The 23696-nt window shown below is 47.8% G+C and overlaps 1 protein-coding gene across 10 annotated transcripts in view, besides 6 other annotated features; it reads left to right on the top strand.

The window, feature by feature from the left end:
* The window catches only part of BDH1 (3-hydroxybutyrate dehydrogenase 1), a 63561-nt gene that overhangs the window by 26151 nt on the left and 13714 nt on the right, over positions 1-23696 (top strand). For 6 of the 10 annotated variants that reach the window (NM_203315.3, XM_047448679.1, XM_047448680.1 and 3 more), the window contains 3 exons: positions 707-832; positions 13632-13704; positions 14671-14781. In NM_203315.3, coding sequence (NP_976060.1) covers positions 750-832; positions 13632-13704; positions 14671-14781 — 267 coding nt within the window. In that variant the 5' untranslated portion in view covers positions 707-749. The other 4 variants (XM_047448681.1, XM_011513067.4, XM_047448682.1 and 1 more) reach the window with 4 other exon arrangements.
* Positions 4428-5021: an enhancer, noted in NCBI's record as "H3K4me1 hESC enhancer chr3:197269043-197269636 (GRCh37/hg19 assembly coordinates)". NCBI's record gives its function as "activates a minimal SCP1, AML or CMV promoter by ChIP-STARR-seq in primed H9 embryonic stem cells {active_cell/tissue: H9 hESC(primed)}" and the evidence as "EXISTENCE:reporter gene assay evidence [ECO:0000049][PMID:30033119]".
* Positions 5021-5315: an enhancer, noted in NCBI's record as "tiled region #4170; HepG2 Activating non-DNase unmatched - State 16:ElonW, and K562 Activating DNase matched - State 4:PromP". NCBI's record gives its function as "activates a minimal TATA promoter and a strong SV40 promoter by Sharpr-MPRA in HepG2 and K562 cells {active_cell/tissue: HepG2 | K562}" and the evidence as "EXISTENCE:reporter gene assay evidence [ECO:0000049][PMID:27701403]".
* Positions 5021-5617: a biological region, named in NCBI's record as "OCT4-NANOG-H3K4me1 hESC enhancer GRCh37_chr3:197268447-197269042".
* Positions 5022-5617: an enhancer, noted in NCBI's record as "OCT4-NANOG-H3K4me1 hESC enhancer chr3:197268447-197269042 (GRCh37/hg19 assembly coordinates)". NCBI's record gives its function as "activates a minimal SCP1, AML or CMV promoter by ChIP-STARR-seq in naive and primed H9 embryonic stem cells {active_cell/tissue: H9 hESC(naive and primed)}" and the evidence as "EXISTENCE:reporter gene assay evidence [ECO:0000049][PMID:30033119]".
* Positions 5121-5415: a silencer, noted in NCBI's record as "tiled region #8020; HepG2 Repressive non-DNase unmatched - State 16:ElonW, and K562 Repressive non-DNase unmatched - State 4:PromP". NCBI's record gives its function as "weakly represses a minimal TATA promoter and a strong SV40 promoter by Sharpr-MPRA in HepG2 and K562 cells {active_cell/tissue: HepG2 | K562}" and the evidence as "EXISTENCE:reporter gene assay evidence [ECO:0000049][PMID:27701403]".
* Positions 22824-23323: an enhancer, noted in NCBI's record as "H3K4me1 hESC enhancer chr3:197250741-197251240 (GRCh37/hg19 assembly coordinates)". NCBI's record gives its function as "activates a minimal SCP1, AML or CMV promoter by ChIP-STARR-seq in primed H9 embryonic stem cells {active_cell/tissue: H9 hESC(primed)}" and the evidence as "EXISTENCE:reporter gene assay evidence [ECO:0000049][PMID:30033119]".

Raw genomic sequence — 23696 nt, 5'->3', positions numbered from 1 at the left:
AGCCTTAAGGTGTTACCAAGAGATTCTTGTTGCAATAAGGTTGCTTTAACCTCAAATGGTGAGGGAGCGGGGAGGGTGTGTGTGTGTGTGTTAATTACAAGAGTCTCTTATTTGGCAGCTCCAAACTCTATGCTATAATGAATTACTGATTAATTCAGCCTCAGAGCCAGAGCCCCCTTGTTTGTTCGCATGGGGGAAAGAGGTGGACGGCTGAGTCAGATGCTATGTGGCATGAGGACAAGCTGCCTGCAGGGGCAGGTGGGCACCTCAGGAATGAAGGCTGATGCCCTGGGGCACCACAGGTGGGTGTTTCAGCAGGTTAGAGGAATAGGACTTACCGAGTCAGAATCCCTGAGGGGTTAGGTCCCCGAGTCTCCCAGTGGTTGGCGGGTTTGAGGATCACTGATCTGGGCCAACCTGCTCACATTATGAATGGGTGATGACTTGCCCAGGGTTGCCCAGTGTGTTTGGTGGCACAGCTAGAGCCAGAACCCAGGCTTCCAGGCACCCTGGCTCCTGACTCTTTCCATTGTGAAGCTGCAGCTTGAGAGAGGAACCAGAGTGGACTACCTGGTGGTACCAGGACTGGAGCTGGGTGGAACAGATGCAGCCCAGTTTGACTTTCACAACCTGAAAGGAACATGACTGCTCCTGATTAAAGCCCGGAAGGCAACAAAGTAATGCTGAGGGTGCATTTATGTTTCAGAACCACCGGGAGGAACTGGGCCATTCTAACACCCGTTGCTACCATGCTGGCCACCCGCCTCTCCAGACCCCTGTCACGGCTCCCAGGAAAAACCCTAAGTGCCTGTGATAGAGAAAATGGAGCAAGGTAAGCAACCAGAGGTGGTGGTGGCCTTGAGGGGACACTTTCTGAGCAGGCAGAGGTTTTCACACATGGACAGTGTAGGCGGTGATGAGGCCTGATTCTCAGAGATGTCTCTCAATACCTTTGTCTCCCAGCAGAGGAAACTCAGAGGTGTCCTGGGAAGACATTTTCCCAGGGCACACAGGGCAGAAAGGAATATCTTTCATAACCACTTATTTTTTTTTCTTTTTGATGGAGTCTCACTCTGTTGCCAGGCTGGAGTGCAGTGGCGTGATCTCGGCTCACTGCCACCTCCGCCTCCTGGGTTCAAGTGATTCTCCCACGTCAGCCTCCTGAGTAGCTGGGATTACAGGCACCTGCCACCATGCCCAGCTAATTTTTATATTTTTAGTAGAGACGGGGTTTCACCAGGTTGGCCAGGCTGGTCTTGAACTCCTGACCTCAGGTGATCCACCCGCCTTGGCCTCCCAAAGTGCTAGGTTTACAGGCATGAGCCACTGTGCCTGGCCATAACCACTTCTTAAAACCCTTTTTATTTTGAAATAACTTTGGACTTATACAAAAGTTGCAAAAATCGTTGGAAAGGGTTTCTGGATCCCCTTCAGCTAACTTCCCTAAATGTTAACATCTTACAAAACCATACTGCAATGATCAAAATCAGGAAATTACCATTGATAGAATACTATTAACTAGTCTACAGACCTTATTCCAGTGTTGCCAAGTGGCTGCTGATGGACCTTTTTCTGGTCCAGGATCGAATCCCAAATCCCACATGGCTCGGAGGTGTCATGTGTTTTTAGTTTCTTCCTGCCGGGGACAGGTCTTCAGTCTTTTTCGCTCACGACCTTGACACTCTCGCTGGTTATGTTGTACAATGTCTCTCAGTTTGGGTTTGTGTGGCAAGACGCCTGCGGCAGTGAAGCGGTGCTTTTCTCAGCCCGTCGTGCCAGGAGGTACATTATTTTGATAACTGCTCTTTTAAAACTTTATGCATGAAATCAGTTAGCCGAGATGTCCCAAACCTTCACCGCATCGTTTGTGTGATTTCGAGGAAGCATTATATAAGTACAAATTAGACAAGCAGCTGTTCTTCTTTGAGAGCTTCTGGAATTGCCTTTTCCCAGGGGATTCAGTGGGCTCTGCTGCCACATTTTACTCTTTTGCAGTCTGAGCAAGGAAAAAACAAGAAATACCTTTTTCTTTCTGTTATATTTGAGGGGAGTGAATTTGAGGGGAGTGAAATTGAAGATTATGTTAAATTCAAAGTCCCAGGATCTAGAACACTGATATTTCTATGCCAATAATATGTTTAATGGAACATGCATTTAGACTGAGACTCTGTTGCCCAGGCAATGTGGCAACCTCTTGGCTCAGAGCAACCTCTGCCTCCCGGGTTCAAGCAATTCTCCCGCCTCAGCCTCCCAAGTAGCTGGGACTACAGGCATGTGCCACCACACCCGGCTAATTTTTTGTATTTTTAGTAGAGATGGGGTTTTGCCATGTTGGCCAGGCTGGTCTTGAACTCCTGACTTCAACTGATCCGCCTGCCTCGGCCTCCCAAAGTGCTGGGATTCACCACGCCCGGCCCGGCTTTTAGCAGCATTTGCTTGAATTTATTTCTGAGAGATACAGAGGCATGGCTTGGAGCTGGGGCTCCACCTACCTGAGGACCCCACATGAGAAGAGTTTAGAATGCCCCATTGGCACAGGCGGCAGGAGGCCCCTGCCATCACAGCGGGGACGGCGGAGGCCCCTGCCATCAGAGCGGGGACGGAGCTCGGCTTTGTTGAAGGGCTTTTGAAAGAAGGTGACTTGCTGCAATTGTTTTTTCAGTGAGTGATTCATAAAGATGGCAAGATCTGTCTCCAACATGGCTTTTAGAGATTTCTGGAGTTTTTTTATAGAGGAGAAGATAATCCCACATGAAGTTAAAATACTTTTACAAAGGTTTTGTTCTTAAATGTAAGGAAAATGAGGCATTAGTCAAGCTCCTGGCTCACTTGAGGGGAAAGAAAGATTGTCAAAGGGAATTTGGAATCTTCTGGATGGACTGAGAAGTAACTTGGTTAGGTTGAGGGGCCTGGGTGGTGGTTGGGCAGCCGCAGAGCTGTCAGAGTAGAGTCAATGTCGTAGGGTGAAGGTATGGGCAGCGTGGAGGGGGACCCAGGTACAGAAGGAGGCTGGCATGGTGGGTAATCGCCATGCCTAGGATCCCACAGTCCCTCAGAGGGAAAACTTTGGCCTGATCATTTTGCTTGAGTCTCAGTTGGAAAGGGCCTCATACTCCAGTCTGCACCTGTGAGTGAATCTTGCTGATAGCATCCTTACCAAGTGACTTTATCGCCTCTGTTTGAATATGTCCAGTGATGGAGAGGTTAGTACCTCTCATAGCAGGCCTCCTGTGTTTGGACATCTCCTTATTGAGGAGAAATCTTTTCTCCTGTTAATGCCACTCCTTGTTCTTGGGTCTGCCCCTGCATTCACACTGAGCGAGTTATTCCCTTCTCCCCAGGGGCACTGTGCCACCTCAATACCCACCCACTTGTCTACTCTTACTCCACCCACATGGTTTCTCCTTGTTTATCTCTCATGGTTTCCCCACTATCATCCAGGTCTCCCCGCTGAATGGTCTGCACTTTGCCTGTGCTCCTTCTTAAGGTGTGGTGCCTGAACAAAACACCCACCACTCTTGACATGCCCAGAGCAGGCATCACCCAGTACACATGGCTCCGTCCAGATGAAAACCTTCCCAGGAGTGGCTGGATAAGGCCCCCAACCCCAACACTTGACAACCTGCTGTGCTTACTGGCTCCCCATGGCCCTCCGATTTCAGATTTCTCAGATTTCTGGCTTTGCCAGAAGACTCTGGCATCCCTGGGGCAGGTGCCTTGCTCACATCTGGGACCCTGCCTCCTGGGCTGTGATCACCAGTGCTCAGCTCTGCCAGGCCAGGTACAGCACATAGTGCTCCCAGGGTGGCCTGACCCGGGCAGAGTGGAGAAGGGCTCTTGCCTCCCCTATCCTAGTTTCTTTCCTGTCCAGCCTAGGCTCACATAGCTTCTTTTGGCTGCCACATCACATGCGGGATTCATGGTCAAACAGGCTAAATTTTTTTCACAGATGCTGCCGTGAGGCCATATTTCTCCCGAGCTGCACCTGTGCCACTGATATGTGTTCCTCCTAAGCCCCGTCTTGTTAGATTCAAATGGACTCATGGCTCCTCTCAGCAGAAAGCTGGGTTACTGGTTATTGTTTCTGATTCCTGATGGGGACAATAAAAGGCACAGACACACAGACTGGTAAGATAGAGAAGAAGCCAGAATGAACGCCCTGGCCAGCATAGGGAGCGCTCTCAAATGCGGCCGGGATGACCAGGGCGCTGAGGACAGCAGGCTCTTCCACAGGGCCTTGGGGAGGTGCCAGACTGCACCACTTCCTCCCTCTCATTCTGTTCCTGGGTTAGGGCAAAAATCAGGAAGCTCTCGTCTTCTGAACCTCACAGCCACCCCTTTGGGCTCTCCCTTCAGAAAGTGTGTTGACCGGTGGGGGCGCGGTGGCTCACACGTGTAATCCCAGCACTTTGGGAGGCTGAGGCGGGCGGATCACCTGAGGTCGGGAGTTTGAGACCAACCTGTCCAACATGGAGAAGCCCCGTCTCTAATAAAAATACAAAATTAGCCGGGCCTGTGGCGTGTGCCTGTAATCCTAGCTACTTGGGAGGCTGAGGCGGGAGAATCGCTTGAACCCGGGAGGAAGAGGTTGCGGTGAGCCGAGATCGTGCCATTGCACTCCAGCCTGGGCGACAAGAGCAAAACTCCGTCTCAAAAAAAAAAAAAAAAAAAGCAAGCAAGAAAGAAAGCGTGTTGACCATCTCGAGCTTAACTTGTGCCTCCCGAGAGACTGAGACCGGCATAGCTGTTGGTGTTAGTGGCTTGGTTGGCCAGCAGCTTGCTGTTACTGCAGGACCCTCCTGGGCAGAGGAGACCCTCCAGGGAAATACACACTATTTTATGTGCTGGTTTTGGGCCTAACGCCTCATGGGCATTCTTAGCCCTGGGAGACCAGTGTATGAGCTGGGATTGCCTCACACTAAGAATAGCAGGAACCCCTAGAAGTCTAGGGCCATTGTGGCTTTGGGGAGCCCAGGCTCCTTGTTTTTTTCTGCTGTGTTATTCTGAAGGCAGCTCAGGATCCCAGGATACTGTGATAGTCCTTCACCTCCAGCCTCAGTCCAGGCAGGGACAAGCAACGCACCTGCATCGGGAAAGCAAAACTCAGCAATTGTGGTCGACCTCCGCTTGCAGCCTATTGGCCAGAGGCAGGTCACGTGACCACTAGGTGGGTGGTAATCTGGAAAGCGTTGGGCGCACTGCTGTCCCTGGACAAAATCCAGATTCTTGTTAGTGAGGCAGATGAGAAGAACGGATGCTGGCAGGCAAAGAGCAGTGTCTGTCACAGCTCAGCTGGGCTGTGGCCTCCAGCTGTTCACAGGGATATTGGGGCTTTGGCATTCAAGGGGCTCAAAGGGGAACCCCCTGGGGATAGGTCTTTGTTTTTCTTTTCCTGTAGGGCAGTGGTATTGAACCTTGGTTGTGGGTTAGAATCACCTAGAGAACAGTGAGGGAAAAAGTGTCTGTGCCTCACCTCTGGGTCAGGAGTGAGGCTAGGCAAAGGAATACTTTAAAGAACTTCCCTGTGATTAAAAAGAAAAAAAAAATCATTCTATGGAGAATCTCAAACATACGCAAAAGTAGAAAGCTGTATATTGATCCCTGGTGTACCTGTCACCTGGGTTTCCATAATTATCAGCACATGGCCAATCTTGTTTCAGCTACATCTCCATTTTCCTCCCCCTCCCCATACCAGATTAATTTTCGAAGCAATTCCTGGACATGGTATTTCATTTGCAAATATTTTAATATTTATCTCTAAATGATAAGAACTCGTTTTAGTAATATAACCACACGACCATGATCACATTTCCAAGTGATTCTAATAAACAGGGGCCCAGAGAACAACTGCTGTGGACTAGATGAACCAGTTCTTCCCCCAGGACCTGTTGCACTGGAATCCCCTGAGGTGAATGACACAGGCAGATTTCTGGGGCCACCCCTTCCTACTGAATCAGAATGTCAACGGGAGGGACCTGGGAGTTTGCATTTTAACAAGCTCCCCAAGTGCTTGTTAACTAACTTTTGAGAGCTGAGGCAGTAAGGTCTTCCTGGTCCCAAGGCCCCTTCAAATTGAGAAGCAGCCCTAAGATGGGGATCCCACAGCGACTGTAAGAGCTGCAAATTGAGGGAAGAGGAATTAGAGTAGGATGAGGCAATCCCAGCAGTGGCCAAGAAGGAAAGGCCGAGAAGTCCAGCAGTGCTCAGGAGGCACTGTCATGCTAGCTGGAGCTGCCCGCCCAGGAGTATTCACAGCCCCACCTTACCCACCTTGTCAGGGTATTGCTGTGGGGGGGGCAGGTGAGTCGAGATAGAACCTTCTGCTCTCTGGAAGAGTAGAAATGCGCCATTGACTGTTGGGTATAAGTGGTAGAGCCTGGTATAATACACCCAGACTCAGTTAATTTTAGGTCTGAATATATTTGACAATGGAGAGACAGTTTAGAGAAAGACGGGCAGCAAGTCAATCTGAAATAAGCTCTCTTGCCTAGACCTTTTTGTTACTTGTTTTGTTTTGTTTTTGTTTTAAGACAGGTCTCACTCTCGCCCAGGCTGGAGTACAGTGGCACAATCTTGGCTCACTGCAACTTCTGCTTCCCGGGCTCAAATGATTCTCCTGCCTCAGCCTCCTGAGTAGCTGGGATTATAGGCGTGTGCCACCACGCCCTGCTAATTTTTGTATTTTTAGTAGAGATGGGGTTTCACCATGTTGGCCAGGCTGGTCTCGAACTCCTGGCCTCAAGTGTCTGCCCGCCTCAGCCTCCCAAAGTGCTGGGATTACAGGTGTGAGCCACCGCTCCCGGCCACAACCTTTTTGTTACTTTTAAAAATGTCAGGTAGGCTGGGCATGGTGGTTCACACCTGTAATCCCAGCACTTTGGGAGGCAGAGGCAGGTGGATCACTTGAGGCCAGGAGTTCGAGACCAGCCTGGCCAACATGGTGAAACCTCATCTCTACCAAAAACACAAAATTTAGCAGGGCGTGGTGGAACATGCCTATAATAATCCCAGCTACTTGGGAGCCAGAGGCACGAGAATTGCTTGAACCCGGGAGGCGGAGGTTGCAGTGAGCCAAGGTTGTGCCACAGCACTCCAGTCTGGGTGAAAGAGAGAGACGCTGTCTAAAAAAAAAAGTGCTAAGGGTGTGGCCCTTAAGGAGACAGGAACAAATCATCTAGTTCCACTAGGGATGTAACTGCCCAATGGCTTCACCTTGCTCACTGCCTAGACAGAACCGGTTTATCAAGACAGAGGACTTGCAGTAGACAAAGAGTAATTCACGCAGAGCCGGCTGTGCAAGAGACCAGAGTTTTATTATTACTCAAATCAGTCTCTCCAAACATTCAGGAATCAAGAGTTTTTAAGGATAATTTGGTGGGTGGGGGAAGGCCAGTGACAGAGTGTTGATTGGTTGGGCCGGAGAGGAAATCATGGGAAATTGAAGCTGTCTTCTTGCGCTGAGTCAGTTCCTGGGTCGGGGCCACAAGAGCAGATGAGCCAGTTTGTCCACCTGGGTGGTGCCAGCTGATCCATCCAGTGCAGGGTCTGCAAAGTATCCCAAGCGCTGATCTTAGGAGCAGTGTAGGGAGGGTCAGAATCTTGTAGCCTCTAGCTGCATGGCTATAAATTATGGTTTATAATTTGTAATCTGGTGCCTAATTTGTTAGTCCTACAAAGACAGTCTGATCCCCAGGCAAGAAGGAGGTTTGTTTTGGGAAAGGGCTGCCATCTTTGTTTTAAACTATAAACTATAGTCTGGGCGTGGTGGCTCACACCTGTAATCCCAGCACTTTGGGAGGCTGAGGTGGGCGGAACACCTGAGGTCAGGAGTTCGAGACCAGCCTGGCCAACATGGCAAAACCCTGTCTCTACTGAAAATACAAAACTTAGCCAGGCGTGGTGGTGGGTGCCTGTAATCCCAGCCACTTGGGAAGCTGAAGCAGGAGAATTGCTTGAACCCAGGTTGCAGCGAGCCAAGATCGCGCCACTGCACTCTAGCCTGGGTGACAAGAGTGGAACTTTATCTCAAAAAAATATAACTCATCTCAAATATAACTCCATCTCAAAAAAACACAACTGTAAACTAAGTTCCTCCCAAAGCTAGCTCAGCCCACAGCCAGGAATGAAAAAGGACGGCTTGGAGGTTAGAAGCAAGATGGAGTTGGTTAGGTCAGCTCTCTTTCACTGTCTCAGTGTTTTGCAATGGTGGTTTCAATGACACCTTCTCATTCTTTCTGCAGAGCAACACTGGGGGTCATGGGAATACAGACTGATGCTCTTTGGATGGAGTCATTCACAAGCTTTGGGTGTACCGACCACACTATCCTGATCACTTGAGACCATCCGTGCACAAGGACTTAAAATCCAGACTCCTCTGTGGCAGTACAAAAGGACAGGGGGTTACCTTGGCAGGTTTTCCTAGTGAACCCTCATTTCTGTCTAGTGAATTTAATGTTCTTTAAGAACATATTTTAATAATTTTTTAAAAGCTTAATATGTTGAATAGGTAATATATTTACATGGTACAAAATTTGAATGGCAGGCCGGGCGCCGTGGCTCATGCCTGTGATCCCAGTACTTTGGGAGGCCGAGGCAGGCGGATCACCTGAGGTCAGGAGTTCGAGACCAGTGTGGCCAACATGGTGAACCCCCGTCTCTACTAAAAATACAAAAATTGGCCAGGTGTGGTGATGCAAGCCTGTAGTCCCGGCTACTCAGGAGGCTGAGGCAGGAGAATCGCTTGAACCCAGGAGGCGGAGGTTGCAGTGAGCTGAGATCGTGTCACTGCACTCCAGCCTGGGCAACAAGAGTGAAACTCTGTCTCAAAAACAAAACAAAACAAAACAAAAAACAAAATTTGAATGGCGTCAAATGGTATACAGAAAAGGTAAGTCTATCTCCCATCTCTTTTCCCCTGTTACCACCTGCTCATTCACCCCTACCTCCTTCATTTGTCATTACTGGGTTAATATCCTTTAAAAACTAACAGGACCTCCGCTTCTGGGAAGATGGAGTAGATGTACTTTTCTCTATTCTTTCTGTCAAGTACAACTAAAAACCCTGGATATTACATAAATTATAAATAATTTAGTAAGTATGTAATATATAAAAAGCCTCTTAAAAGGCAGAGAGAAGAAGGCAGACCAGCTAAGGACCTCAGGACCCAAGAAATGGTGCAGTGATGAGTTCTCTAGGTTTTCTTTTTGTTTCTTATGTCCCAGACTTGGAGTTGAAGCAGCCGGCAACCCAGAAATACCAGTAAGCTCAGACGCAAAAAGCCCCAACAAAAATTTGCTCTCTCTAGCCAAATGACCAGTGCAGTAGGACAGAACAAGTGGGTTTGTTCCAGGGATATAAGGATGGTTCATTATTTGAAAATTAATCTCATCCACCAAATTAATGAACTAAAAGAAGAAAACTTACATGATGCTCTCTATCAATGCAGAAGATGCAAAATTTAGCACACATTTATGATTTTAAAAATCTCAGGAAAAATAGACATAGAGGGGGATTTTCCTGAACTTGATAAAGGGTAAACACCATAAGCCTTCAGCTAACATACTTAAGGGTGAGACTGAATGCTTTGTCCCTAAGATGGGGAACAAACCAAGGATATTAGTTCTCACCGCTTATCCAACATAGTGCTGTAATTTCTAGCCAGTGCAATAAGGTAAGAAATGGAAGTAAAAGTCATATAGATTGGAAAAGAAGGAATAAGACCCCATATTTGCAGATTACATGATTGTGTACATAGAAGATCCCAAGGCATCCACAAAAAAACTCCTAGAACTAATAAGTAAGTTTAGCAGGGTTACAAGATACAAGATAACACACAAAAATCAATTGCATTTCTGTATACTAGCAATGAACATATGGATATCAAATTTTAAAACAATACAGTTTCGACCGGATGTGGTAGTTCATGCCTGTAATCCCAGCACTTTGGGAGGATGAGGTGGGAGGATCACTTGAGTCCAGGAGTTCAAGATCAGCCTGGGCAACATGGTGAGACCCTGTCTCTGCAAAAAATACAAAAATTAGCTGAACCTGGTGGTGCATGCCTGTAGTCCCAGCTACTGGGGAGGCTGAGGTGGAAAGATTGCTTGAGTGTGGCAGGCGGAGGCTGCAGTGAGCCGAGATCATGCTACCGCACTCCAGCCTAGGCAACAGAGTGAGACCCTGTCTCAAAAAATAAAATAAAATGAAATAAAATAAAACAAAACAAAACAATACCATTTGTAGTTGCTCAAAAAAAGAGAGAAATAGATGTAACAAACATGTTACACATAACACAGCATGTGTAGGATTTGTTTTTTGTTTTGTTTTTGTTTGTTTGGTTGGGTTTTTTTGAGACGGAGTTTCACTCTTGTTGCCCAGGCTGCAGTGCAATGGTGCGATCTCGGCTCACTTTGACCTCCGCCTCCTGGGTTCAAGTGATTCTTCTGCCTCAGCCTCCCGAGGAGCTGGGATTACAGGCACCCCCTCACCATGCCCGGCTGGTTTTTTGTATTTTTAGTAGAGTCAGGGTTTCACCATGTCGGCCAGGCTGGTCTTGAACTCCTGACCTCAGTTGATCCACCTGCCTCGGCCTCCCAAAGTGCTGGGGTTACAGGGATGACCCACCATGCCCGGCCGCATGTATGGTTTAAATGCTGAAAACGACACAACACTGATGAAAGAAATCAAAGATCTATGTAAATGGAAACCCCATACTGTACTCAGGAATTGGAAGACTCAACAAAGTAAAGATGCCAACTTTCCCCAAATTGATATACAGGTTTAGCACACTTTCTATAAAAATCCCAGTCATATTTTTTATAGATGAAGACAAGATTACTCTAAAATTTATATGGAAAGGCAAAGGAAATAGAATAGCTAAAAGAATTTTGAAGAAGAAAAATAAAGTAGCAGCACATATATCAATGAATCAAAATAGAAAATCCAGAAATAGGCCCACCCAAATATGCCCAACCAATTTTTGACAAAAGTGCAAAAGCAATTCAATAGAGGAAAGATAACGTTTTCAAAAAATGGCGCTGGAGCAAATGGACACAAAACTTAGACCTAAGTCTGACGTCTTATACAAAAATTAATGGATCATAGACTTAAGAAGTAAAACATAAAACTATAAAACTTTTTTTTTTTTTGAGACAGGGTCTCCCTCAGTCCCCCAGGCTGGAGTGCAGTGGTGCAATCTCAGCTCATTGCAACCTCTGCCTCCTGGGCTCAGTTGATCTTCCTGCCTCAGCCTTCCAAGTAGCTGGGACTTAAAGGCGTGAGCCACCACACCTGACTAATTTTCGTATTTTTTGTAGAGATGGGGTTTCGCCATGTTGCCCGGGCTGTTCTCGAACTCCTGAGCTCAAGCAATCTGCCCACCTCAGCCTCCCAAAGCGCTGGGATTACAGGCATGAGCCACCATCCCAGCCAAAACTATAAAACTTTTAGAAAAGAACATAGAAGAAAATCTTTGGGTCCTGGGGGCAAAGAGCTCTGAGACTTGACATCAAAAGCATGCCGCATAATAGGAAAATACTAGACTTTATTTAGGGGTTAAGAGTTTAGACTCTGGACTCTCTCAGCCTTGGTTTCACTAGTTAGCTCTATCACTAACTACATTGGGCATTGAAAATTCCTCTGTTGTCCCACGTGGTGCATGGATGATTGTAGACGAGGACACTGAGATCCTGAAGGCAGAAGTAATTTCTCTAAGCAACGTTGTTGGTTGGTGGCAGAGTCTGGGTTACAACCCCTGGTTTCCTGATTCCGAGTCCAAGTGAAATACTTTTGCCCCTGCAGTAGACCCTGCTACAGAGGATAAAAAGGCACGTCATAGGCTAGGAGAAAAATTTTGCCTACCACATATGTAACCAAGGACTAGCAGCTAGGACATCTGAAGAATTCTCAACATTCAACGGGGTAGAAGAATGAACGATTCAATAGAATATGGGCAAAAGACATGAAGAGGCATTTTACCAAACATAGGGTGCTATGGTCCGAATGTTTGCATTCTCCTCAAATTCCTGTGTTGAAATCCTAACCCCCAAGGTATTGGTATTAGGAGGCAGGGGCCCTGGGAAGTGATTAGGTCATAAAGGTGGAGTCCTCATGGATGGGATTAGTGTCTTTATAAAAGAGACCTTTGCCATGTGAGGTTACAGTGAGAAGACATCTGTCTATGAAGAAAGTGGGCCCTCACCAAACACAGTCTGCTGGCACTTTGCACTTCAACTCCCCAGCTTCCAGAACTGTAAGGAATATAAGTCTGTTGTTGGTAAGCCACCCGGTCTATGATATTTTGTTATAGCAGCCCAAACAGACTAAGACAGGTGACAAATAAACATGAAAAGATGTTCAACATCATTAGCCATTAGGGAAATGCAGATTAAAACCACAGCGAAATATCATGATACAGTTTTCAGCATGGCTAAACTAGAAAATAGTGACACCACCAAATGCCGACAAGGCTGTGGGGAAACTGGGTTGTTCAGACACTGCCACTGGGGCTGTAGCGTACTATAGCCACTTTCATAAACAGTTTGTCAGTTTCTTAAAAAACTAAACCTGCAACTACCATATGACCCAGCAATTACACCCCTGGGCACCTACCCAAGAGAAATGAAAACTCAACGTTTGCGCAAAAACCTGTGTAGGAATGTTCAAGCAGCTTTATTCATAATATGCCCAAACAGGAAACAACTCAGCTGTCCTTCAGTAGGTAAATAGTTAAGCAAATTGTCATACCCCTGTGTCATGGAGCACTACCTAGCAATAACAAGGAGCAAATTATTGATACATAACAATCTGGATGAATCTCCAGAGAATTATGTTGAATGAAAAAAGCCAGCCCCTGAAGGATACATACTGTATGATGCCATTTACATAACATTCTTGAAATTCTAAAATTACAGAGATGGGGAACAGATTTGTGGTTAAAGATGGAGCCGGGTGGGAAGAAAGTAGGTGTGGCTATAAACGGGTAACATGAAGGATCCTTGTGGTGATGGAAATTTCTGTATTTTTATTGTATCCGTGTCAGTATCCTGGTTGTGATATGGTAATACAGTTTTGCAAGATACTACCCTTAGGGGAAATGAGGTAAGACCTGGCATCTCTCTGTATTATTTCTTAATTGCATGTGAATCTACAATTATTTCAAAATAAAAAGTATGATTGAAGTAACTCTCAGGAAGCTTAGCCTACTGTGGATTAAGACATCAAAATTGCAGCAGGCTTTAACAAAGCTATACTACTACAAGGATAGTTCACACTTGAATTAGCTTGAAACATTACCTATCCATGTCATCTTGGAAAGCAGAAAATGGAACTTTATTGGAGTGGGACACTGGATGGCCAGGGTTTAGCAGAGCCTGCCCAACAAAAGTAGCTTCAGAATTGGCTTTATTCTCAGGAAGGCTCTTCCTGGACAGTGGCAAACATAGCCATAGCAAATACTGGCTCACTTTCTATCAGCCAGCAACCCTGGTGGAAAGAGGGCCTCTTACTCAGTTGTACCAGCAAGCTGTCTCCAGGAGCCGGGGCTGGAGAGACACCCAGTGCTGCTCTAGGCCAGTGTGGCTGAGGGTCTGTCTAGTCTGTCCTTGTACTCACGGCTTCCTTTTCTCTTGCAGACGCCCACTATTGCTTGGTTCTACTTCCTTTATCCCGATTGGCCGTCGGACTTATGCCAGTGCGGCGGAGCCGGTGAGTGGAAGCCCAGCTACCCGGGAGCCAGTTGGATGGTCAGAACCCTTTCTTCTGGGCCCCTAGGCCCTGAGCTACCCTCAGAGTGGGGCCTTAGTGTTTCCAGGACACTGGGAGCCACTTTCTCACTTAACCCTCCCCCAAAGCCCCTCATCAGTAATGAGCTCACACACCCCCATCCATGTGGGGAGGAAGCAGTAATGAGGCACTCCAGCCCCTCCCAGCCAGGAAGGTATCACTGGAGGCCTAGGTGGGGGGCGAGAACTCCCAGCCCCACCCAGCAAGTTAGGGGTTAAGAGTTTAGACTCCGGAGGCCCAGGGCGGTGGCTCCCGCCTGTAATCCCAGCACTTTGGGAGGCCGAGGTGGGTGGATCAACTAAGGTAGGGAGTTCAAGACCAGCCTGGCCAACATGGAGAAACCCCATCTCTACTAAAAATACAAAATTAGCCGGGCGTGGAGGTGCATGCCTGTAATCCCAGCTACTTGGGAGGCTGAGGCAGGAGAACTGCTTGAACCTGGAAGGTGAAGGTTTTGCGGTGAGCCGAGACTGGCCATTGCCCTCCAGCCTGGGCAACAAGAGCCAAACTCCATCTCAAAAAAAAGAAGAAGAGTTTAGACTCTGGAATCTCTCAGCCCTGGTTTCAGTTCCAGCTCTATCACTAGCTACATTGAGCGTTTTAAAAAGACCTCTGTTTCTCACATGTAGCATGGGGGATTGTAGATGAGATCCTGAAGGCAGAAGTAATTTTCCCAAGCAACATTGCTGGTTGGTAGCCGAGTCTGGGTTAGAACCTGGCCTTTCCACTATACCATGGTGCTTCTCCAGACAACAAGAACAAGGTAGGGAGGGCCAGGCTTGGGCCACTCAGGAAGCACTAACTCTCACTGCACAGAGGGTGGAGAGGCCTGGTCACTTTGCCCCTGTACCACCGGTTCCTAACATGGAATCTGACCTTGTAAAACAGGTTGGCAGCAAAGCTGTCCTGGTCACAGGCTGTGACTCTGGATTTGGGTTCTCATTGGCCAAGCATCTGCATTCAAAAGGCTTCCTTGTGTTTGCTGGCTGCTTGATGAAGGTAAGAGACGAGTTATCTTCTTCACCATTGTCTTTTACACATAGTCATTGTTTTTTAGTCTTTTAAAAAGTGCTTTCCTAACAACTGGCTCACCTTTGCTTAAACCAGCCTGTCCATTTTCCATCGGCTTCAGTCCCACTTGTTCTTCATAGCTTTGTCCATCCATCATCCATGCATCCATCCATCCATCCATCCTCTCATCTATCCATCATTCGTCAAATGCTATGATGTACCTGACACTTTGCTAGGTGCAGTAGAAGAATGAGACCTTGTCCCTGCCCTGAAGTTGCTCCCTGTCGAGTGGTGAGGAGACAGCCATGCATAGACACAGCTGAAGAATTCGAGTGAAGCAGATTCTCAGGGGTGTGCGAGAATGTTCGGCGAGACTGTGTAGGAGGAAGGGATTGATGATGGCATGCCAGAGGAAGTGACATTTGTTCTGGGCCATGGCGAGTAAATAACACTGCCACAGGTGGAGACTGGGAGGAGTTACCTGCTGGACGGGAGGAATAGCCTGGGCAGAGGCTTGAAAGCATGAGGCTCCTTCGGGACACATTAAGTAGAATTTAAGGTGCATGAAGGGAAGCACTGGGACCCGAGACTGCAAAAGCAAACAGTGGGCAGTGCCCCAGTTAGAAAGTTGTGCGCCCACCACCACAATCCACTTTAGAATACGTCCATCACTCAGAATTCTCTCTCTTGACCATTGGCAGTTAATCTCCACATATACCTCTAGCCCTGAGCAGCCACTGATTTCTATTTCTTTAGGTTTGCATTTTCTGGACTTTTCATCTACATGAAATCATACAATACATGGCCTTTTGTGCCACACTTCTTGAACACTTAGTGTGATGTTTTTGAGAGTCATCCATGTTGCAGAATGCATCAGTAGCTCATTCCTTTGTATTGCTGAGTGGTATTCTGTTGTGTGCCTATGCTATATATATATACATATATGTATATATATATATACACATATATATATATATATATTTTTTTTTTAATTTATGTTTTTGAGACAGAGTCTTACTTTGTCTCCCAGGCTGGAGTGCAGTGGGTGCAATCTTGGCTCACTGCAACCTCTGCCTCCCGGGTTCAAGTGATTCCCCTGCCTCAGCCTCCCGAGTAGCTGGGACTACAGGCATGAGCCACCATGCCCACCTAATTTTTGTATTTTTATTAGAGACGGGGTTTCACCATGTTGGCCAGACTGGTCTCAAACTCCTGTCCTCAGGTGATCCACTCACCTTGGCCTCCCAAAGTGCTGGGATTACAGGCGTGAGCCACCACGTCTGGCCCAAAGCACTATTTTTAAAAGCTACTTGTATTAATTTTTGTTTTTTCTTTATCGCTGTATTATTTATTTGAAATATAATGCCATTTATTTGTGATCTGTTTTCCTTGTTGTTGATTCTTGTTGATGTAATTTAATTTCTGAATATGTAAACTGTTAACAAGGCTGTAAAGGCAAAAATTATACAAATTGGTAAAATCAAAGTAGCGTTATTCCCTCACCCCTATCTGTTCCACTCCATTCCTTCATTTTTCCCCATGTTACACAAGTGTTTGCATATTGCATATACTCTTTGGTTTTTTAAAACATCAACAATATACCTTGGAAATCAGGTTGTATGACCTCACAGAGATCTTTTTCACTTTGTTCACAGCTTTGAAGCACCCACTGAGTGGGCGGATCATAATTTACTTCATCAAAATCTCCTGTAAATGAGCATTTAGGTGTTTTCAATATTTTGCAATTACAAATAATGCCACAATGAATAACTTTGTATTTTTGTTATTATTGGGGGGTTATCTTTTTTTTTTTTCTTTTTTTTGAGATGGAGTTTTGCTCTTGTTGCCCAGGCTGGAGTGCAATGGCCCAGTGTCGGCTCACTGCAACCTCCACCTCCCGGGTTCAAGAAATTCTCCTGCCTCAGCCTCCCAAGTAGCCGGGATTATAGGTGCCTACCACCACATCTGGCTAATTTTTGTATTTTTAGTAGAGAGGGGGCTTCACCATGTTGGTCAGACTGGTTATCTTTAGAGTAAATTCCTTGGGAGTGAGATTGCTCTTAGATCAGAGTGTAAATAAAATATATTGTCATTTTAAAGATATTCCCAAATTTTCCATCCTAGGGGTCATGTAATTTTACATTCCCTCCAGGAGTGCATGAGTGCCTATTTCCACACAATTTCACCAACAGAGTATGCATCAAGCTTTTGGTTTTTGCCAGTCTGATAGGTGGGAAATGTACCTCAGTGTTGTTTTTATTGTATTTCTCTTCTGAGTGCATACCCCTGTTCTTTAAGGACATGACCCAGAAGCTTCCTCTGCAGATATCACCTGTGCTCTCATTCTCTTGGCCAGAACTTAGTCACATGGCCTTACCTGGCTGCAAGGAAGGCTGGAAAATGTAGTGAGTATTCTGAGACAATATGTACCCGGCCTAAAATGTCAGGCGTTCTACTGCTATAGAAGAAGGATGAAGGGAAGAGTGGGCATTCAGGACAACTTGCTTTCTCTGCTCGGTGGGTGAGACATTTTTCTTTATTTTCAAGCCAGTAGGAACCCAGGGGAGGAATTTCCCATACTATGTTGATATCTTTGTAATATTTGATACCCAACGTAAAATTTCAATAATATAAACAAGTAAAAGAAATCATTTATATTGCCATGCTCTAAACATCATTCCATCTGGATCAGAGAAGGTTTTGTTTGTCCTTTTAATCTTTACTTCTTTGAATTGTGAAAGTAATACTACATATTCATAATAAATTCAAATAATACAGAAGTATATTATGTAAAAAAGTGAAGTCTTCCCAATCTCTTGCTCCAAGGCAGCTTAAATGCAGGTGTATACATTATTTGTGAGTTTTGCTATTACAGGTCGAGTATCTCTTATCTGAAATGCTTGGGACCAGATGTGTTTTGGATTTTGGATTTTTCCAGATTTTGGAATATTTGCATTATACTTGCTCAGCATCTCTGATCTGAAAATCCAAAATCCAAAGTGCTCCAATGAGTATTTCCCTGGAGCATCATGTCAGCACTCAAAATTCAGATTTTGGAACATTTCAGATTTGGGATTATTGGATTAGGGATGCTCAACCGGTATTAACAAAGCCTGGGTGAGCCATCTTGCACATATATCTTTGCCTCCTTCCACTGGCGATTCTTAGGAACATTTCGTAGATGTGAAAGTGCAAGTTGCAAAGGTGTGCAGGTTTTAGGTTTTGTTCAAATCCCCAAACTGCTTTCCTGAAAGGCTGTCGCTCTCCTGACAGTGCTCAAGAGAACCCGTCTGGGGAGGGTTCTGGGGAATGGGTGTGGCATCCCTGGTGCTGGATTCTTCTGCAGAATGTGGACCTACCTCAGCGGGTCCCAGCAAGAACCATGATGCCATAAAAATGTTGTAAAGTCCCTTGTCCTATGTTAGGCTTCTGTGCCATTGTGCTGGCTTATCCAGTGACACAGGGAGCCACAGTCAGATTCCACAGCACAGGGCAGAGGCTGCTCGATGCTGCAGAAGACTCTTCAAAAGGGCCTTCGGTTCTAGTCCTAGACTGACCACTAACCCCGGAAGGGGACAAACATGTCCCCTCCCTGGGCCTCAGTTTCCTCTTACTTACCCTAATAGGATTGGACTGGTGATCTTAGATCCTTCCACTCCTGCAACAGTGATTCTAGAATTGGTTGACTGGTATTTTGAAGAAAGTACCAGACAAGCTCATTGGCAGGTTATATCTGTTGGTATCTACCTCTTGACCCATTCCATCTGCTATCTGAGATCAGTCAGGCAAGTCAGAAAGCAGTTAGCACCACCAGAGGCTTTGGATAAGGCACCGTGGGGGTTGAAAGGGGGAATTTGCTTCTAGCCCGATTCTGTAGTGTTAGCCCCATGATGGATTCCGGCTACATCTGTACCTAAACACTCTCTCTGCTCTTGTTCAGAATTAGTGTTCCTCTTATCTCTCATATCTCATTGCCTTTGGCCAACTCAGGGACTTAGCTCCAGCAGATGTCTGCCACCTCCTACGTCACTGGCTCCACGCTCTCTCCTGGGTCATTTCAGCACATGCACACACACACACACACACACACACACACTCACTCACTCACTCATACAGACCTACACCACCACACCCTGTGTACATTACCTCCCCACGGCTCTGCTCCTTGTTGCAGAAAAGCACCCCCAGAGGGGGTGCAACCCACCTGGATCAGGCTTTGCCCCATCACGATGTTTATTTACTTGTTTATTTATTCAGCAGATATTTACTGAGCACCTAAGATAAGCTGACAGTGTTCCCTGTTGGAGATACAGCATATAACACCTCAGTGAGAAGTTCTTGCCCTTGCGGAGCTTATATTCCAAGGGGGGATGATAGGCAAGGAATAAGATAAGTAAATTGCTTCTCTGCAGGGTGGTAAAAGCAGTAGAGAAAAATAAAACAGGAAAAGAAGATAAAGCATGGTGGACGGGGTGTCAGATTTTCAAGAGGGAGGAAAGATCACACCAAGAAGGTAAATTGGAGCTCCCTCATCCAAAGGAGGTGCGGGAGGGAGTGTCACAGAAACCAAGGAGGTGCGGGAGGGAGTGTCACAGAAACTAAGGAGGTGCAGGAGGGAGTGTCACAGAAACCAAGGAGGTGCGGGAGGGAGTGTCACAGAAATCCAGGGGAAGAGGGGACAGTGCAGTACAGAGCTCCAGGAGGGAGTGTGCAGGGTGCATCTGAGAAACAGCATGAAGCCTCTGTGGCTGAAGCAGAATGAGGGGGGAGTAGAGTGAAGTGAGGGGCACGGGAGCAGATCTTGTATCAGCATAGGGAAGGCTTAATGAGAGGTGGCGTCTCACCACCATCTGGAAAGATGAACGGGGGCTCCCTGCGAAATGGGGGCAGGTGGCATATGAGGCACTGCCAGTAGTTTGAGGTCGCCAAAGCCCAGTGCCCTGGTGGGCTGGGAAAAGAAGGCAGGACCAGACCAGGAAGGTCCATGAGTGCCTCTGACCCAGCTTTTATCAAGGATATCAACAGCCCCCATTTTCCCAAATCCATTGGCCACTTCTCAGACCACATCATGCTCAACCCAGCAGCAGCTTTTGACCAAATAAACCACCCTTGCTCGTAACACTTCGTTTCTTGACTCTATGCTCTCAGGGTTCTTCCCCATCTTGCTTGCTAGCTCCTCCTCCTGCCCATCCTGTGAACATCACAGTGCCCAGGCTCGCTCCTCTCTGAAGTGTTTCTAACACATGTGATAAGATGCTGACGTATAACATGTGTCGAGTGTCCTCATGTTCTTCCCTGAGGTGCTAAACCACCTGAACATATATGCTAGAGACAAAAACCTTTCTGCCAGAATCAGCTCATTGGCTGCCTCAGTATTATAAGAAATGGAAATAGAAGAGGTTGAGCGACTGGAAAGAGTTGTTAGTGTGCTGATATTTTCCCTCTGATGGCAAGTAAAATGAGGTGGGCTTCATATGAATGCCTTGGAGAGCTTCTGGACTTCTCCAAGTTCTTGAACTCCCCGGAGAGCTTCTTGGCTTACCATGTGTGCCCTGGAGTCTGGAGGCCACAGAGTGTGATGCTAATGTCCACCAGAAGAAGTCTAAAGGCCCGAGATTGAGACAGGAGTGGCTCGTCTGGGAGCGGAGCACGGAGAGCTGGTCGGGAGAGGGCTATCCTTCTACCTGGGCAGGAAACAGTTGCCTGGCCCTGTGTGGACAGTGGAGAGAGCTGCTTGGAGTCACCTTAAGGGTAACCATCCAGTGAGCTGGCTGGGAGGATCCATGTGGCCCCAGCCAGAAGCGGGTACATCACTGAGGCCAGGGGCTGAGGGAGCAGATGCCCGGCTGGGGGAGGCACGCTGCCCTGCGTCTGGAGTGGCAGTCGGAGGTCTCCGTGGCAGAATCTTTGTAGACTCCACAGAAGCACCCCAAGAAGGAAGAGCTGGCTTTTGTGCACCTGCTCTCTCAGGGGCAGCAACAGCAGACATTAGCCAGCCTCAGACGACTACAGTCTTGCCCCTAATTTGCTGCCCCGGATCCAACCTTGGAAGGGTCAGAAGTTAAGAATAGGAGGGGAGAGGAGCTAGAAAACAGTGAGAAAGACAACCTCCACCAGCACCTACTTCCCACAGCCCTCAGGGCTGGGCAGGGGAAAGCTTTACCTCGCATACAAGTTTGGGAGTTTGGGTTCTCAAACCAGGCTGGGCTGGAATTATTTGCTTAAGAGACTGAACAGGACTCTTCATGCCAAAACAAAGAGGCTCTCTGTCCACTGTCTGAGAATGAGTGGAAAAGCTATACAACTTGCCTGAAGTTTCATCCAGGGCTGGAAAAAATAGCTTACAGGTGAGGTTGAAAGGGACAGTAAGATAAAGAAGTGGGTTTATCAATAAGCCAGTTGCACACGCACCAACACAGCGGAACTAAAAGCTTGTCCCTGAGCAGCCAGACAGAGGTGGACAGAGACTCCAGAGACCTGCAGAGGGAGCACGGAGACCAGCAGAGGGAGCACACAGACCTGCAGAGGGAGCACGGAGACCTGCAGAGGGAGCACAGAAACCCTGGGTCCAGGGAGGTGGTGTGGCCTGCGGGGCAGTCTTGGCCTGAGGACAGGTAGACCCTGAGGGGGACAGGCCACCAGAGTCTGCAGCCAGCAGGCTGAGGGTGGTTGGAAAGATTTCTCTGAATAACTGGGGGCAAATTGGTAGTTTCTGTCCCTATTGGCGTGGTTGTCAGGAGCAGGGTGTGGAGGCTGCCCAAAGGCAGGTGAGGGTTCCTGGGGTGGGTCTGTCAGTGAAGATAGGAGGGTAGCGTTGCTCTCCTCGGGAGCCTGAAGCCGTGGGCAGTGAGATTAATCCCCTAGTTTCCTCTGAAAGAAGACTCTTCACTGTCAAACTGCCAAATTAAGAGTTTACTGACTTGGAGTCGGGGGTTTCCCCTGAGGACTGCAGGGACCTTGTCGTGATGCTGTGTAGGGGCACCAGAGAGGTCTTGTATAGGGGTCTGAGAAGAGCTGAATGATAGCAACAGGGTTAACCAAGTCCCAAGAGGAAGGACATTTAGATACCTCTTGTGCATGTCAGCTAGAATCCACCTTTCTGAGGTTCAGATCATGTGAGCTCCACGCCAAGGGGCATTTGAAGGGCCACCAGGTGGAAGACTGCATTAAAGCAAGACACGTGTTTTCCTGGTACCTGTGTGCCGCCTGTGGAAGAGAGGGGTCTGCAGGCACCACGTCATCACACCCTAGACCTGAAGATGCATTAGTTCTTTCTTGGTGGAGTCCTCTGTGGGAATGACAGCCTGAGCTCCAGGCCCATCTGTCCCGTGCATCTCATGCCTGCGTCTTGTTTGGGAAGGTCGGCGCACCTAGGGGATTTCAGAGCCAAACTTTAGACCATCGAGCCTCCGGCCTGGCTGCTGTGTCCGAAGGCATCCCTGGTGCCTCTGCAGAGACTTAGCGGGCCACGCCACAGTGCCTTTTCAAAGGGCCACTGGGGAGGCTTCCTTTCCATGGAAAACCAGGCGGTGAAGACGACAGTCCAGGAACGGAAGCGGTGTTAGGTAGGGGAGATCAGCCCGACCTCCTGTCCAATGCCGGGATTGTCTCTGTACCACCTTTCCCACACCCCATCCTCAAGCATCCCCCCAACCCCCAAACATCCCTCCTACCTCCAAACAACCCCCCACCCCAACTCATTGCCTCAACACCTCCAGGCAGCTCATGCCATCTCCAGACTGTGAAGATCACGCCTCATTTTGAGCTGAGCTGGACTTCTTGGTCCTGGCTCTGTTCTCTGTGGCTGCATGGAACAAGCTGGCTCCCTCAGTCATGTTCCACTCAAGTCTTCTCTCCGGGGTGACTACGTCCAGCACCTCCGGCCCCATTGGGCAGTCCCTTCACCATTTCCTCCTGTGCCCTCTGAAATTGCATGATGTGATTTCTCCATTCCCGGGGTTGGGGTTCTTCTGGTTGAAAGCATTCAGAAGGCTCAGCCTAACCAGCGGAGGACTTTCCACCCCTGACAAGTGCTGACCGTCCTGGGCTTTCCACCCTTGCCCGCGCCTGGGATGTTTGCTTCAGTAGCAGCTGTGTGTGCCATGGGCAAGCCCTTGGCTGGCGAGTGGGCATTTCTCTACCCCTTTACTCTTGGCTGCTAGTCCTGTCCTCTTACAAGAGGTGTCACTATGCCATGCACCATTCAGGAAAATTGCTGCCAATTAAGTCATTTATGACCAACTATGTTTAATTTTCACATCGAGTGTAGCTCATCCCTATTGTGAAAGAAACCATGTTTCATAGAATAGGATGAAATGTGACAATGCAGCCTGCCTGGTGACACGAGGGTGCACGTGACAAAGCACATCAGCACTTAGCACAGTGCTCAGGACAGTGGACACTCGGGAAATGCTGTCTACTTAGAGGAAAGCCCCCCAGCAGCTCGGCAGTGCCCACAAGCAGACCCCTGCCCTCCTCTCCAGCCCTGCATCCACCACCTCCTTATGCGTCTGCACTGCCTGCAACCAATGGCTTCTGGTGGCGTCCTCTTATCTCTTCCCACAGTGCCCCGTCCCCATCGGCCCCCTCTTGTGAATGTCCTCAGCTGTCACTGCCTTTGGAAGGTCTCCCCTGCCCGTCCCTCCTGTGCCCCTCCCACCTCCCGCCAGGTTCCATACAGCACACAGTCACTGTGTCGCTTACGTGCTCACCTGTCTCCTTCCCTAGAACACGACTCTGGGAACAGGGGCTGAATGATTGATCTTGACCTCCAGTTCCTAGCACAGTGCCGGAACACGATAGGGGCCCAAGAAATGTTTGCCGAGCGAGTGACGCCTTTCTCCTGTTTAGCAGTACCTGAATTTGTGTGGTGCTTTAGACTCTTTAACAGGCTTCTTACAAAT

The sequence above is a fragment of the Homo sapiens genome, chromosome 3 (assembly GCF_000001405.40).
Source record: "Homo sapiens chromosome 3, GRCh38.p14 Primary Assembly".
In the NCBI taxonomy this organism is placed as follows: Eukaryota; Metazoa; Chordata; class Mammalia; order Primates; family Hominidae; genus Homo; species Homo sapiens.
Note: the sequence above shows the minus strand (reverse complement) of the source record. Positions and strands in the feature narration are given on the sequence as shown.